The sequence below is a fragment of the Homo sapiens genome, chromosome 15 (genome assembly GCF_000001405.40).
Source record: "Homo sapiens chromosome 15, GRCh38.p14 Primary Assembly".
Taxonomy (NCBI): domain Eukaryota; kingdom Metazoa; phylum Chordata; class Mammalia; order Primates; family Hominidae; genus Homo; species Homo sapiens.
This window is the reverse complement of record NC_000015.10, coordinates 65,695,119-65,710,964: the sequence shown is the minus strand read 5'-3', so window position 1 is coordinate 65,710,964 and position 15,846 is coordinate 65,695,119. Positions and strand designations below refer to the sequence as shown.

Genomic DNA, 15,846 nt, shown 5'->3' with positions numbered 1-15,846 from the left:
TGAGACCTCAAGAAACCTACAGTTATGGCAGAAAGCCACGGGGAGCCACTAGGGAGCCAACATGTCACATGGCCAGAGCTGGAACAAGAGAGAGTGGTAGAAACTGCCATATGCTTAAATAAAACAGATCTCGAGAGAACTCACTTGCTACCACAAAGACAGAACCAAGCTATGAGGGATTTGTCCCATGACCCAAACACCTCCCACCAGGCCCCACCTCCAACATTGGGGATTACATTTCAACATAAGATTTGGAATAGACACATATCCAAACCATATCAGTGCTTATAAAATTAAATATTGGCAATAAATAGAAAGGTGTGCTTTAAAAAATAATTCCTCTACATTCTTTTTTATAGGAACAATTGTGGGTTTTTTTTTGTATATAAAGATGATGTTTCTGTCTGGCATTACCAACTTTGAATGATTTTCTCACAGGTGCTGGGCTTCCATTGGTTGTATATATGTTCTCACTGAGCTTCCCTTACGAACAGTGGCATACATTTGTGTAACTATTGTTCCTTGTGCAAACCTTACTGAATCATAAGGGACCAAATTGGTAACCAAGGTTTTGCCAATAGCATGCTTTAGCCAATAAATTTATTAATCCACATGAGAACACTGAATTGGTTGTCAGAATCCAAATAACAGTGAGAAGAGAGAAGTCTTATATTGTTCCCTTTTATTTTTGGCCTATTTTATGTATCCCATTCACAAGTTTCTGTTTTAGCTAAGAACTCAGGATTCCTAGCTAAGTCACATGATTTAAAGAAATATTAATATCTAAGATATACAAGATTTGTAATTTTGCTAACTAGGGTATTACGTCCTAAGGAGCATATCTTAGTACTCATGGTTAATACATTATGTTGTCTAGGATTTTCTGTAGGCCACCTGTTGTTTATGTGATGGTAGTCCATGCAGAAGGTGACTGGAATCATTGCTTAAAGATTATGAATTCTGAGAAGTCTCGAAAAAGAAAATTCTATTAAATGTATAATCATTGTTTCTAGGTAGACTATTTTCCTAAAATGTTATTTATCTATTCAAAATCTAGATCCAACAAAAGATCACTTATATATATGAATTAACATTATACTTAAAGATTTTAATGACTACTCAGAAAATCAAAACTGAAAATTAATGCATTAAAACATAATTACTTGTATTTGCTTTGTTATAATTCAAGAGACTTATTAGAGAAAATAAAGTGTCACGAGATTATATATATATATATATATATATTTTTTTTTTTTTTTTTTTTTTTTTGAGATGGAGTTTTTGCTCTTGTTGCCCAGGCTGGAGTGCAATGGCATGATCTTGGCTCACCGCAACCTCCGTCTCCTGGGTTCAAGCAGTTCTCCTGCCTTAGCTTCCCGAGTAGCTGGGATTACAGGCGTGTGCCACCACACCTGGCTAATTTTGTGTTTTTAGTTTCTCCATGTTGGTCAGGTTGGTCTCAAACTCCCGACCTCAGGTGATCCGCCCATCTCGACCTCCCAAAGTGCTGGGATTACAGGCATGAGCCGCCGTGCCCGGCTCAAAATGTATCTTAATAAAGTTCATATGTAGTTAGAGCAGAGGTTAATTGTATCCCTGGTGGTGTTATTAGCCAGAACTCTCTGAAATGTAAATAATTATACAATGCTGTTACTACCTTTCATGTTTTGATACCATAGTAAGTGACTCACAAAAAATCAGTGCTTACTATTCATCTGCATATGTTTTCTGAATATCAGTAACACTTTAAAAAGAATAATTTTTGTGAGGGTTATTCCTTAGTTGAGTAACTTTGAGCTTAAGTTTTTAAGTGAACAAATCCTCTTACCTCTGGCAGTTTAGCTATAGAAAATAAATAACATTAAATATACGTTAACTGTCTCATATGGTTCATGACTACTATTGAACAAAAATTAGACGTGTGATACTGTTATTCACTTATTCTCACATGGTATATTAACTCTTTTGATCTTAGCATATCCAAACAAAACACTTGACCGACTTTAAAAAGCTGGAGCGGGTAATACTGAATAGAAATAAGAAAAACAATATATGAGAATTATGTGAGTTTCATTTATGACTAATTTAAGAACCATGTGTTCTTGTTCTTCATATGATTATATTTTAAATCCTTACAATCTGTTCCTGTGGGATGGTGCTTAACTAAAGGCAGTTTTGTGTAACAAATAGTCTGGTAAGATTTTTTCTTGGTTTCCCAAGAATCCCTTTCCAGTGTTTTCTGAGCATATTAATGTCTTGTGGGAAAATATGAAGAGAATATGAAAATTATTTTAATTTTATCCTGCTGTGGGTGTTGGATTTCTTTTTCTCTCGATAGAGACAGATGTCACCATGCTTTCCAAAAGACAGAGATGTCCAACTGATAAATGTAGGATTTATTGCACGGCTATTTTTATAATGTTAAAATGAGATTTTATTGGTATATAAGTAGAAGGAAGTATCTTTTACCAAGCTATTGAGTCTACAGTGCAAAATTTTAATATTTGTATAGACTTTACCGAAAACTAGAGCAGTTGTCCTGGACCCCACACTTTTCTATGAGAACAATATGGCTAGAGAATGGAAAGTAGGCACCAATATGGAGAGGGAGAAGCTGCTAAAAAAAAGAGTGAGAACTATTAAATAAATAAACATTTGCTGAGCATGGTGGCTCATTCCTGTAATCTCAACATTTTTGGGAGGCTGAGGCAGAAGGATTGCTTTGAGGCCAGGAGTTCCAGACCAGTCTGGGCAACATAGCAAGACCCCATCTCTACCAAAAAAAAAGAAAGAAAGAAAAATTAGCTGGGTGTGGTGGCATGTGCCTGTAGTCCCAGCTACTTGAGAGACTAAGGCAGGAGGATCACTTGAGCCTAGGAGTTTGAGGTTGCAGCAAGCTGTGATTGCATCATGGCATTTTAGCCTGGGCAACAGAGCAAGACCCTGTCTCAAAAAAAACATTAAGAATCATAATATATAGGCTGGGTACTGTGGCTCATGCCTGTAATCCCAGCACTTTGGGAGGCCAAGGCAGGCGGATCACCTAAGGTCAGGAGCTCCTGACCAGCCTGGCCAACATGGTAAAACCCTGTCACTACTAAAAATATAAAAATTAGCTGGGTGTGGTGGCACGCACTTGTAGTCCCAGCTACTTGGGAGGCTTTGGCATGAGAATTGCTTGAACCTGGGAGGCGGTGGTGCTGGTGAGCCAAAATTGCACCATGCACTCCAGCCTAGGTGACAGAGCAAGACTCTGTCTCAAAAAAAAAAAAAAATCATAATATGTATACGATTTAGTAGTCTGATTCTTTTCTCATTTATTGTTATTTTGTAAATGTTTTTCTCATTATTATAATTCTGAATCGTGTCCTAATTTTTGTCTAGTTCACTGTATGGATATACCATTAAAAACATTATTTAATCCAAGAGAGTATAGCATATAATGCTGTGAAATTATAATCAATAATTTATATAAGAAGATTTTTGAATGTATTGGTTCCTTTAAGTGTTAGAAAATTTTTAAAACTCATCTCTGTTCTTTTTTGGTATACTCTGCCCTAAGTCCTTATCTTAAAGGTTTAACTACTTAATAATTCTTGCTCTTCCACTTAATCCACATGGTATGTGATATTTCTAACCTAATAAAGTTCTGTGAAATGTGTTTTGTCATATGTATAACATCCTTTTTTATTAATATCAATATTATTCTTTTTAGTTTATGAGCTCTTGTGGGGCAGTTTAGGTTCTATGAAGTTTTCATTTTTTCTGGATATTACCTTGCTATCGAGTATCTAGTGGAAATAGTACTACCAAAGTGCTTTCGATATTGATGTGACTAGAGTTTAACTCAAATATACGTCTACATATGCTGAAAGAGCTTAGGGAAATTTGTTATATTTAGTATAAATTTTAAAAATATATAGAATTCACTATTCTTATCACACAGACACACATGTACGTGGATTTAAAAAATATTATTTCTTGATTACAGTCTCATGATTCAAATGCAAAACATTTGCATATAAAAAGGTATATTCAAATATAAAAAGGTATGTATTCATCTGGGTCCTATTCCATCCTTGTCTACCCTATTCCTTTCCTCTTCCTCATATAGGTACTTTTCTTAGTATCCTTCTAGTATTTCTTTATGTAAATATAAGCAAAAATGAAAGGCCGGGCGCTGTGGCTCACGCCTGTAATCCCAGCACTTTGGGAGGCCAAGGCGGGCAGATCACAAGGTCAAGAGATCGAGACCGTCCTGGCCAACATGGTGAAACCCCGTCTCTACTAAAAATACAAAAATTAGCTGGGCATGGTGGCACACGCCTGTAGTCCCAGCTACTTGGGAGGCTGAGGCAGGAGAATCACTTGAACCGGGAGGCAGAGGTTGCAGTGAGCTGAGATCGTGCCACTGCACTCCATCCTGGCGATAGAGCAAGACTGTCTCAAAAAAAAATATATATATATATGTGTGTGTGTGTGTGTGTGTGTGTGTGTGTGTGTGTGTGTGTGTGTGTTATTTTCCCCTTTTCTTATTCAAAAGGTAATATACTATTTACAGTTTGCACTTTGCTATTTTCACTTAATTATTTTGGCACTCATAGAGAACTTGCTCACTCTTCTTTTTTAATAGCTGTTTAGTATCCATTGTGCAGATGGTTTATTTAACCACTTCCCTTTATATGAACACTTGGCTAACCAATGTGGCTTTTTTAATATATGTTTTTAAAACTCCTTTAGGTGGATATGGACAAGAGCGGTGAAGTACGACTTATAGAACTGGATGAATCTTTCAAAAGTGAACACACTGTTTTTGTAACACCACCTGAGATCCCCCACCTACCCAATGGTGAAGAACCCCCTTTACAGTACAGGTATTCAAGAGGCAGAATGTTTGAGATTGAAAGAGAGAAGCAATCCATCATCTGTGACGTAGCTTTCTAAGGACTGTGGTATTTTCAAAAATCCAAACTTTACAGATCCCTAATTTTTAGGTGGTAAGCAAGCTTATCCCACATCCATTATTAAGCTTTGAGGTATAAAAAGAAAACATATATAATTTTGCATAATATAGACTTGGGAAGCTCTCTAATGATGTCTGCATAAGTATCTCTCCTTGTAAATGTTGATTACATTCAGTTAGACTCCCCACACCAAATGCAGCACTAGAATTTTGATTTTTTTTTCGTTAAAGCTGGTTTCCTCACTTTCAATTCCTCTTTTCATCTCATACACAGATTGATTAATATAGCCTTGGTTTACAAAAAGATTAAATCTAATTTAGAGCCAATCTTCGTGGCCTTGATTTGTACGATATAATTTTTTAAGTTACTAATTTTTTTCATGAGTTTTAAGTCATGGAAATTCAGAATTATTAGAATTGATCATTGTTAATTTAGGGAATTTGGTTAGACACTGTGCTAAGTATACAGACTTAAACGATATATTGTCCCTGCCTTCAAGTCTAGTGAAGAAGAGAGAAAAGTCCTGAGCACAGTAAAATAAGGGCTATGATAGAGGTGAATGCATTATTTAGTTCCCAATATGCATTTATTTTTACTTAAAATTGTAGTTTCTTTTAGAGTTTAAAAGATTTCTTAATTCTCCAATAATATTTTCTTACTTTGTTTAAAGATTCTAAAAACCATTTCACATCTATCACCCATTGAATCATGGTTTGTTATTTTCATTGAAAAAGGATTTTTCAATGACATCTTTGTTTATGACTTGGATTAAATTCTTCCTTTTACAGATGAAAAAGTGGTGTGATAGATGTTTATGAATGTTGATTAATCAGAGACCACTTGATTTCTACTCTTTTCATCCAGTGATGATGATGTTTGTATCACTTTTTAAATGTCTTCTGTCAAAGATATTTAAAATATTTCTCTTAATTTCTCTCTTCCTCTCTTTGTCTTTCTAAACAAGTTCTCATTTTTTAATCTCTTTTGTACTTTATGCTTATTTGTCTTTTGGTATGTGTCACTTCGAGTTTTGTGTTTCTGTGGTTTGGTTTTAACTTTTTAATTTAAATTTTATTTTTAGATTTAGTCCTTTAACTCTAAGAAAATTTGGCCAGACGCGGTGGCTTATGCCTGTAATCCCAGCACTTTGGGAGGCTGAGGTGGGCGGATCACTTGAGGTCAGGAGTTCGAGACCAACCTGGCCAACATGGTGAAAACCCTGTCTCTGCTAAAAATACAAAAATTAGCTAGGCATGGTTGCAGGTGCCTGTAATCCCAGCTGCTTGGGAGGCCGAGGCAGGACAATTTCTTGAACCGGGGAGGTGGAGGTTGCAGTGAGCCGAGATCGTGCCACTGCACTCCAGCCTGCGTGACAGAACGAGACTCTATCTCCAAAAAAACCACATTATTTCAGCCTGTGCAACATAGCAAGACCTTATCTCTATAAATAATTTTTTAAAAATAGCTGGGCGTGGTGCTGCACACCTGTGGTCCCAGCTACTCAGGAGGCTGAGGTGGAAGGATCACTTGAGCCTGGGAGGTTGAGACTGCAGTGAGCCATCATTGAGCTACTGCACTCCAGCTTGGGCGATGGAACAGACATAAATCAAAAAATAAAATAATAAGAAAATTACTTATCTGAAGACGTTTCTGTTTTTTAAGAATCTGTCGGTTTTTTTCTTCAGACTACCAATATAATTTTGGTATAATCATTACCATAATTGGGAAAACACCGTAAATGTCCTTAATGAGCACAGAGTCTGCCTCATAAGAGATTACTCATAAACTTACATTGTCTTTGTAAAATAATGAGGCATTTGAAATAAGACACACAAAATGGTCTTATTATCTCATCATATACATACAATGAATTTTTTAAGGGGCATGGTTTTCCTGGATTTCTTTGCTGTTTCCTACTCAACATTGAATCATTACTAATATTTTCTTATTCTATGGAATTTGACTATAGTAATGTGTAAAAAATATTGTCTACCCTCTTTTATTATAGTTAGGTTTCTTCTTAATTAAAACTATGTGCTTTTAAGAAAATATTACATAGTATTCTTAAACAGGTTAAGTGTATTGCTCAGGGGGCTGCTTTGGTTTCTTTCAGCATATCTTTTTCCTAACTGCTGCCTTTCACTTATTTACTTATTTATTAATGAAGTTTCACTATGTTGTCCAGGCTAGAGTGCAGTGGCTGTTCACTGGCAGAACCGTAGTGCACTACAGCCTTGAATTCCTGGGCTCAGGCAGTCCTCCTGCCTTAGTTTCCTGAGTAACTGGGATTATAGGCATGCACTAACTGCACCCAGCCTAGCTGCTAGCTTTGAAATGTCCAGAGCATCTTGGTCTCGCACCCTTATTAGGTTTACCTCCTAATAGAGCACCTATTCTAACCTTTTCTTCCTCTTATTTAGCCTTCTCAATTTTCTTTCTCATAAATGATGCCCTGAACCCACTAGCTAACCTGACAAACCAATTCATGAGAATGTGAGAGCAAGGCCTGGTGTGCTAATATGCTAAACCTAAGGTTGTTATTTGCATCTTTCTAAGAAGGGAGGTTCAACAGTAAATATGTTAATCCAAAGCAATGACATTAATGATTGCCCTTTTTGAAAGAGTCTTAATTTGGTAGGCCTTTTACCAACTGTCATATTATCTAATATGTTTGCTATGTATTAACAAGAGTACTAACTTTTAAAAGTTTGCTAAAGTTACCTTGGAGTTGGATGTCATGTTCATTTATGTTTTTCCCTTTTCCTCAAAAACTAACTTGAGTCTGAATTTGGCTATTACATTTCTAATTATAGTAAGAAGAGCAACATTAGCATGAATATTTGTTGAGTGTATATCACAGCCTGACAAAGAAAGATAGTTAAATTCTATGTGAAGAAGTTATTGGTCGTAATTATATTAACCTGTAACCACTATGATCATCTATGTGTGCTTGAGAACTCTTTTTTGTTTTGTTTTGTTTTTTCTAAAACAGCTATAATGGATTTCCAGTTCTTAGGAACAATTTATTTGAAAGACCTGAAGGATTTCTACAAGCAAAGAAGAACAAATTGCCTTCAAAATCAAGTAGTCCTAATAGCCCTTTGCCCATGTTCAGAAGAACAAAACAGGTACTTTATCACATTCTTCATGTAATCAAATTTTAGAACAAGAAATAAATTGGATATTTATCCTCCCGTAATATGCTTTATCACTTCATATATAACTATTACTAGATTATTATGTTCACCAAAGCACTGTGAAGATGGAGCAATCTGACTTCAAGAAATTAACTAGTTCTCTTGTCCTAGAACTTTATTTTATATGCTGTTTAATACAGATTCAAAAAGAAACTTGAAAACGCATTAATTACAGACATATTTTGTTATGGAAACATTATAAAAGCATGTGACTTGTACTTGTTTAGCACTCAGTTAAATAAAGATGCCTAAGTGCATAAATTTATTAGTAAGATCTTTATATTTTTTCCAGGAAATTAAATCAGCCCATAAAATTGCAAAGAGGTACTCTTCCATCCCTCAGATGTGGTCTAGGTGTCTACTGCGCCACTGTTATGGACTGTGGTTTATTTGTCTCCCAGCTTATGTGAAAGTCTGTCATTCAAAAGTCAGGGCTCTGAAAACAGCATATGATGTGCTTAAAAAAATGCAGTCAAAGAAGATGGATCCACCTGATGAGGTAACAATTATTTTATTGTTGTTATTTTATTTTTTTGAGATGGGGTCTCACTCTGTCACCCAGGCTGGAGTGCAGTGATGCAGTCATGGCTCACTGCAGTCTTAACCTCTTGAGCTCAAGAGATGCAATCCTCCCATTTTAGCCTCCCAGATAGCTGTGACTACAGTCATGTGCCACCACGCCTGGCTAATTTTTTAATTTTTTTGTAGAGACAGAGTCTCACTATGTGGTCTAGGTTAGTCAGAAGCTCCTGGGCTCCAGAGCTTCACCTGCCTTGCCCTCCCAAAATGTTGGAATTACAGGCATGAGCCACTGTGCCCTGCCACAATTATTGTTTAAAATGCATTATTTTATTCTAGATTTATGTACATGGTGACATCTGTGTTTCGGTACAATTTTGAACTTGTATTTCAGGTATGCTACCGCATTCTTATGCAACTCTGTGGACAATATGATCAGCCAGTGCTTGCAGTTCGAGTGCTTTTTGAAATGCAGAAAGCTGGTATTGACCCCAATGCCATTACTTATGGTTATTATAATAAGGTAAATACCTTGGTTTAATGGATAAAGAGTATTACTTTTGTCATTATGCAACATTAATGGCAGAAATAATTTATGCAGGGGGTTATTTGGCATTTATTTTAGAGTATATAAAATACATTTTGTCAATCAAGGAAGACTTTAGTTCTCTTTTATGTTATACAATCTACTTTGATTTTTTCTTTCTTTGAAACAGGGTCTCACTCTGTGAGACTCTAGCGCCAGGCTAGAGTGCAGTGGCACAATCATGGTTCACTGTAGCCTTGACCTCCCAGGCTCAATTGATCTTCCCACCTGAGCCTCCTGAGTAGCTGGGACTACAGGCATGTGCCACCATGCCTGGCTAATTTTCATATTTTTTGGAGAGGTGGGGTTTCACCTTGTTGCCCAGGCTGGTCTTGAATTCCTGGGCTCAAGTGATCCACCTGCCTCAGCCTCCCAAATTGCTGGGATTACAGGCATGAGCCACCACTCCTGGCCTACTTTGATATTCTTTAGCTTAATTCTGAAACCAATATATGTTCACTTATAAAAATTATTTTACTAATTATTTTATTTTGTTGAATGAATAGGCTGTTTTGGAAAGTACCTGGCCTTCAAGAAGTCGTAGTGGCTATTTTCTTTGGACAAAAGTAAGAAATGTTGTTTTAGGAGTAACACAGTTCAAAAGAGCTTTAAAGAAGCATGCACACTTATCACAAACAACTCTCTCAGGTAAGGGATGTATGTGTTTTACTTGTTCTTCAAAATTAATTGATTAGCTACAGTTTACATTTTTAGAAATTTTAAATAGTTTTAAAATATTGAATGTTTTAGTTTTTAGTTTTATTAAGCAAATTATATTACTCTTCCCATTTAAAAACCACCAGATTTCACTTCTGTTTAAATGTTTCAACTTCTGACGACCTTTGTGTGTGTTTTAGTGTTCATTAATAACTCACAATAGGTTTCTTTGTTATAGTTGTATTTTGCTAAGTATGTGGCACTTTTCATGTTCAGTATTACATTGGTGGATTATTAGCTTGAGCAACAAATTAATGTGTATTTACCTCTTCGAGTAGTAAAATGCTGTCAAATTGTGTTCTTAAGCAGATGGCAGTGACCTGGATGCTGTTAGTCATGGCAGCATGGATAGTGGTCATGGGACACACACTGTGGAGCAGGCACCTTTTAATACGGGTTTAATCAAAGTATATGCTACTGATGATAGATCTAGTACAGGTTTGTGTATGCTTATGTATACATTTATTATAGTACATTTTTAAAACTAGATTTGCTAGCCTATGTTTTTTTACATTTTCATTTTCAGTGATGTTTAACTGTCACTTTTTAATTTTATATATTATGTATTTTATTTGATATTAGATTTAATAACTATATGAAATTTTATTCATTCTTTATTTGAATAGAAATAAAAGTTTTAAGAGAGGTTATAAATCACTTTATTCAAGTATTTAGTATATGATAATCCAGTTAACTCTGCGTAGACATAGATCTGTTTACCCTATCATTTTCTTATAATAAATTCTTTGAAATTATGAAAATGATATTAGAGTTTTTTAAAAAAAGAAGCATAGCTCTGTGTCTAAGTTAATAGTATTGTACCAACATCAGTTTCCTGGTTTTGACAATGTACTATGGTTATGTAAGGTATTATCATGGGGGGAAGCTAGGTGAATTGTACCAAGGAACTCTCTGTACTGTAATGTTTTTGCAACTTCTAAATCTTAAGTGATTTTAAAAGTCATAATAAAAAATTTTAAATATATAAAAATATAGCATTTTAAGGCTGGGTGTGATAGCTCATGCCTGTAATCCCAGCACCTTGGGAAGCTAAGGTGGGTGGTTCACTTGAGCCCAGGAGTTTGAGACTGTCTGGGCAACATAACAAAACCCTGTCTCTACAAAAATACAAAAATTAGCTGGGCTTGGTGTCCCATGCCTGTGCTCCCAGATACTAGGGAGGCTGAGGTAGGAGAATTGCTTGAACCCAGGAGGTTGAGGCTGCAGTGAGCCATGATCAAGCCACTGCACTCCAGCTTGGGTGACAGAGCGAGACCCTGTCTCAAAAAAAAAATTTATATATATATATAAAATAATATATGTATAATATTATATATGTATGTGTAGTAGTATATGTATAACATGTGTGTATAATACATATACACATATGTATATGTATTTATATATGTGTATATAGAATTATATATCTTATGTGTATGTTTATATATGTGTATATAGAATTGTATACTTCAGTGCTAGAATTATAGTGCCGAAGATGGCATTAATTTCATAGAAGTATAAGTTCGTATATCAGCTTTTCTTAACTATTATTACAATTGACACACTTAAAAATAAATTATTTACATAATTCTGTTCTTTTTATTATTACATTTCAAAAATTACACATGACTTTTGACTACAGATAAGAGCAAACTCTTAAAGGACAGAAACTTTAAAAATTGAAGCATTACTAATAAAATATGAAGGCCCCTATCTCTGCAAATGTCAATATTATTTTGGTCTGTCTTACTTTATACCTAAAGTTTAATAAATGTAAGCTCATTTTGTTGAAATGTAATATTCATAGTTATTCTTCCTTGATTGATTTTATTCCTTGATTATGCAGTGTGATTTTCATCAGTTACAATAGTTATCCTTTGGCATTATCTCTTACAAATGAAGAAATCTTATCTTTTAACTGTGGCTTTTAAAAAGGCTATCTTAGGCCTGGTGCAGTGGCTCACACCTGTAATTCTAGCATTTTGGGAGGCCAAGGCAGGCAGGTCACTTGAGGCCAGGAGTTCAAGACCAGCCTGGCCAACATGGCGAAACACCATCTCTACTAAAAATGCAAAAATTAGCTAGGCATGGTGGCACATTCCTGTAATCCCAGCTACTTGGGAGGCGTAGGCACGAGAATTGCTTGAACCCAGGAGGTGGAGGTTGCAGTGAGCCAAGATCACGCCACTGCACTCCAGCCTGGGCAACATAGTTGAGACTCTGTCTCAAAAAAAAAAAAAAAAAAAAAAAAAAAAGGCTATCTTAAAATAGTGTAAAACCTAATAAAAGCATGAATTTCATCAAGATTATTCTCAGATTTTTCTATTTATAATTCCTTTAAAAATGGACCTGAAGTTTGATTAGAAAAAATAAAAACTGAAAATTATAACAACGATATTAAAGTGAATATCTAGTGATACATAATATAATTTCTTTAGAGAGTGCTTTACAAGTTTATAAACATTTTTCATATATAGTCTCATATAGTAATAACAACCTTACGTTTTACAAATTTGGGAACTTCAAATCCAAACAAAAAGATTACATTGTTACTTAAAATCATATGTCTCCTAAGATAGAGAACTAGGATTCAAAACTTTATCTTTTGTGACTAATCTGGTGAAAACGATTTTCTAAAAATGATGCAGAGCCTCTTTAGCAACACAGTGTATTAGAAAATTTTTTTATATTGATAGACCTTTTTCCATTCTTTGAGACAGGGTTTCACTCTGTCGCCCAGACTGGAGTGCAGGGGTGCAATCATAGTTCACTGCAGCCTTGAACTCCTGAGCTCAAGTGATCTTCCCACCTCAGCCTCCCAAGAAGCCTCCCAAGAAGTGTCTATAGGTGCATGCCACCATTCCTGGCTAATTTTTTTTATTTTTTATTTTTAGTAGAGATGAGGTCTCACTGTGTTGCCCAGGCTGGTCTCAAACTCCTGGGCTCAAGTGATCTGCCTGCCTCAGCCTTCCAAAATGCTGGGATTATAGGCATGAATCACTGCTCCCAGCCCCTTTTGCTTTTCTTAACAATATCTTCAACACTAGATTTTTATCTCATTCCCATGTATTTGTACTCACATACAGTTCAATGATTATTCAGCTAAATTTTTTTAAAAATTAATTACCCATCAATAAATTTGAAGAAATCCAATTTTTTTGTAAAATCATTTAGACATTTAGCTCTAGTGACCTATGTATGAATGTTCTGTTATAAATTCTTTACAGATTTCTCCATTGCTTAGTTGAAACTCAAACTTTCAACTAGAAAGGTCATGGACTTGTATAAAGAATGTCTGGTTTGTCTGTGTCTTGGAGCTCATATAGTAGTGTGAATGTATGTAGTTACTTTTGACTACAGTGTGGAACCAAGAGTAAATTATTTCAAGATCATCTCTTTCTTATATTAATAGAGATGATGGAAGGGATAGTTAACAAACTAATGCTTTAAGGGTAGCTAACAAAATAATGCTTTAAGTTGGAAGTTGTCCAGAAAAAAATTTATAAGGAAATCCAAACACTAGTATGTTGCTCCTAATTCCAGTTGCACTCACTAAAGAAGTTTCTAATAGAGTTTTGTTTATTTTTGTTTTTACCAGGTGGCCAGTCTGATCTTGGATATAATTCATTATCTAAAGATGAAGTTAGAAGAGGGGATACATCTACTGAAGACATTCAAGAAGAAAAAGATAAAAAAGGGAGTGATTGTAGTTCCTGTAGGTATTGTTTAAGTTGATATTGTATAAAATTGAGAACTTATATTCATAGAAAATGCAGGTGATTTTATAAAAGTGCTGGTTTTACTTTCCATTTTTCCATTATAACTCTTTCTTTTCTACCATTACGTGCCCTCTCAGCCACCACATACTCTCATACAAATGCTTTATGTATGAAGTATATAGCCTCAGTGGCAAAACACTTCCCAAATCAAATACCATTAGAATGAATGCTACGTAATTCCAAAAATACATGTATTTAGTAGAACTGTATATACATTTCTTGAAACTATTTCTTTTTTGAGACTTAACAATATTTTAAAGCTTGTGATCCTTTTGTAGTTTATGAGCATGATGATTGGGTATTCATCCATGTTTGTGAGATGTGCCACCCTTGAACCTTGTTACGACATCAGCACATTACCCATCTGACCTGAAAAAAGAAAAAAAAAAAGTTTGTTTAATGGATTGTGATTATATTTACCCCCTTCCCCACTCCACCAAAAGCACTCCTTTACAATCAGTGAGGAAATATAAAATTTGTGCATGGACCTCATGCATGATCAGTATTCAGTAGTTTGATCTACACTTTGAGGCCTCAAATAAGTGAAATCACTTATTTGTGGTTGACAAACAGATATAGAGGTGTTCAATATTTTCTTGTCACCTATTTTCAAGTAAAAATATGTAGAACTGAAAACTTCTCTTGATACCTCCTACAGTGTATATAGATTTCATTTTATTAACATTTTCATTTTCATCTTTACAGTGTCAGAGAGTGAGAGTACAAAAGGAAGTGCTGATTGCCTTCCTAAGCTCAGTTATCAAAATTCTTCCAGTATCGTTCGCCTCACTGGTACAAGTAACAACAGTGCTGGTAAAATATCAGGAGAAAGCATGGGTAAGTTGAATAGTACGCTTGTGTTATGTGCGGAATAAATTGTATCTGTATGACTAGTGAATACTTATTTTTTTAATAGTCTTAATTCTCCAAGGTGATTTTAAAAAATATTTTGTGCAGCCTCTCATGGCATAGCTTAGTAACTTGAGTTCTATATTTTATAACATGCTGTGTTCAAGCTTGTATTATAGCAAGGCATAGGGGTAAACCTCCAGCTTGTATACTATCTTTTGAGTTTAGACTGTTGGGACTTTTTGGAAGGGGAAAGTGACATCAGGAGAGGTGATGAGTCTGAGGGTACCATACACCTAGTTAAGTTTCAAATGAAGTATATGGCTTATTAGTTTTCATATTATTCCTGTTTTTCCAGAGGCAAAAGGATAGTCCTTCAGATAGTTTAAGTAACAATACCCAATAATTTTTCTTTTCACGGTCTTCTTATATATTATTTTATATAATATTAACATAGAAATGCTTGTATCAAAGGAGATATTAGCACTGTTTTAAAGATGAGAAAACTAAAGCATACTTCAGTGATTGGCAGGTCACATAAATTATCAATAGTTAATAGAAAAGTCAGATTAGAAGTAGAATAATATTTGGCCTCAAAGTGTTTTACCAGACCATTTTTAGGGGATTAAATAGACATAAGATTTGGAGTTTTTAGTGTTAATAGTGTGATTACCTAATAAATTTTTTTGTATTAGCTTACTTTTGCATGATGTTGTAATATAAAAAATATTGAAGAACATGTGCTGTCAAGGCTGAAATATCTCTGTTTTTTGCTGCAATGGTGTCTGGTTTTTTTGCAACACAGTTAGATATGCCTGTAGTTCAGGGAAAGGCAAACTAAGGCCCAAGGACCAAATTTGCCCTGAAGCCTATTATTATACTAGCCTGCAAGCTAACCAAGCTATGATGGTTTTTATAGTTTTAAATTGTCAGAAAATAATCAAAAGAGACTAATATTGTGGGACACATGAAAATTTTATGAAATTCAAACATCAGTTTTCATAAAGTTCTGGGAACACAGACATGCTCATTCATTTACGTATTATCTCTGGCTGTTTTTGCATTGCAACAGCAGAGTTGAGTAGCTGTGACAGAGACCACATGGCCTGCAAAGACTACAATATTTACTCTTTAGCCCTTGATAGAAAAAGTTTGCGGAACCTACTCTATCAAACAGACAAAAGAAAGTTAGATCACCTATAACTCTTATTTTGCATTTCTTTGTTAGATAATTG

At 35.0% G+C, this 15,846-nt stretch overlaps 1 protein-coding gene and 1 non-coding gene across 29 annotated transcripts in view; both read left to right on the top strand.

Annotated features, from left to right (window-relative positions):
- Positions 1-15,846, top strand: part of DENND4A (DENN domain containing 4A) — a 133,171-nt gene that overhangs the window by 81,329 nt on the left and 35,996 nt on the right. For 11 of the 28 annotated variants that reach the window (NM_001376920.1, XM_047432100.1, NM_005848.4 and 8 more), the window contains 7 exons: positions 4,741-4,874; positions 7,957-8,092; positions 8,454-8,660; positions 9,075-9,203; positions 9,773-9,914; positions 13,582-13,698; positions 14,468-14,599. In NM_001376920.1, the coding sequence (NP_001363849.1) occupies positions 4,741-4,874; positions 7,957-8,092; positions 8,454-8,660; positions 9,075-9,203; positions 9,773-9,914; positions 13,582-13,698; positions 14,468-14,599 (997 nt within the window). Of the gene's footprint in view, positions 1-4,740; positions 4,875-7,956; positions 8,093-8,453; positions 8,661-9,074; positions 9,204-9,772; positions 9,915-10,289; positions 10,422-13,581; positions 13,699-14,467; positions 14,600-15,846 lie in introns of all 28 variants that reach the window. The other 17 variants (XM_005254120.6, XM_047432087.1, NM_001320835.1 and 14 more) reach the window with 2 other exon arrangements.
- SNORD13E (small nucleolar RNA, C/D box 13E) lies at positions 14,029-14,132 on the top strand. Its single transcript, NR_145750.1, has one exon. It is a non-coding gene; the product is annotated as a small nucleolar RNA, C/D box 13E (small nucleolar RNA).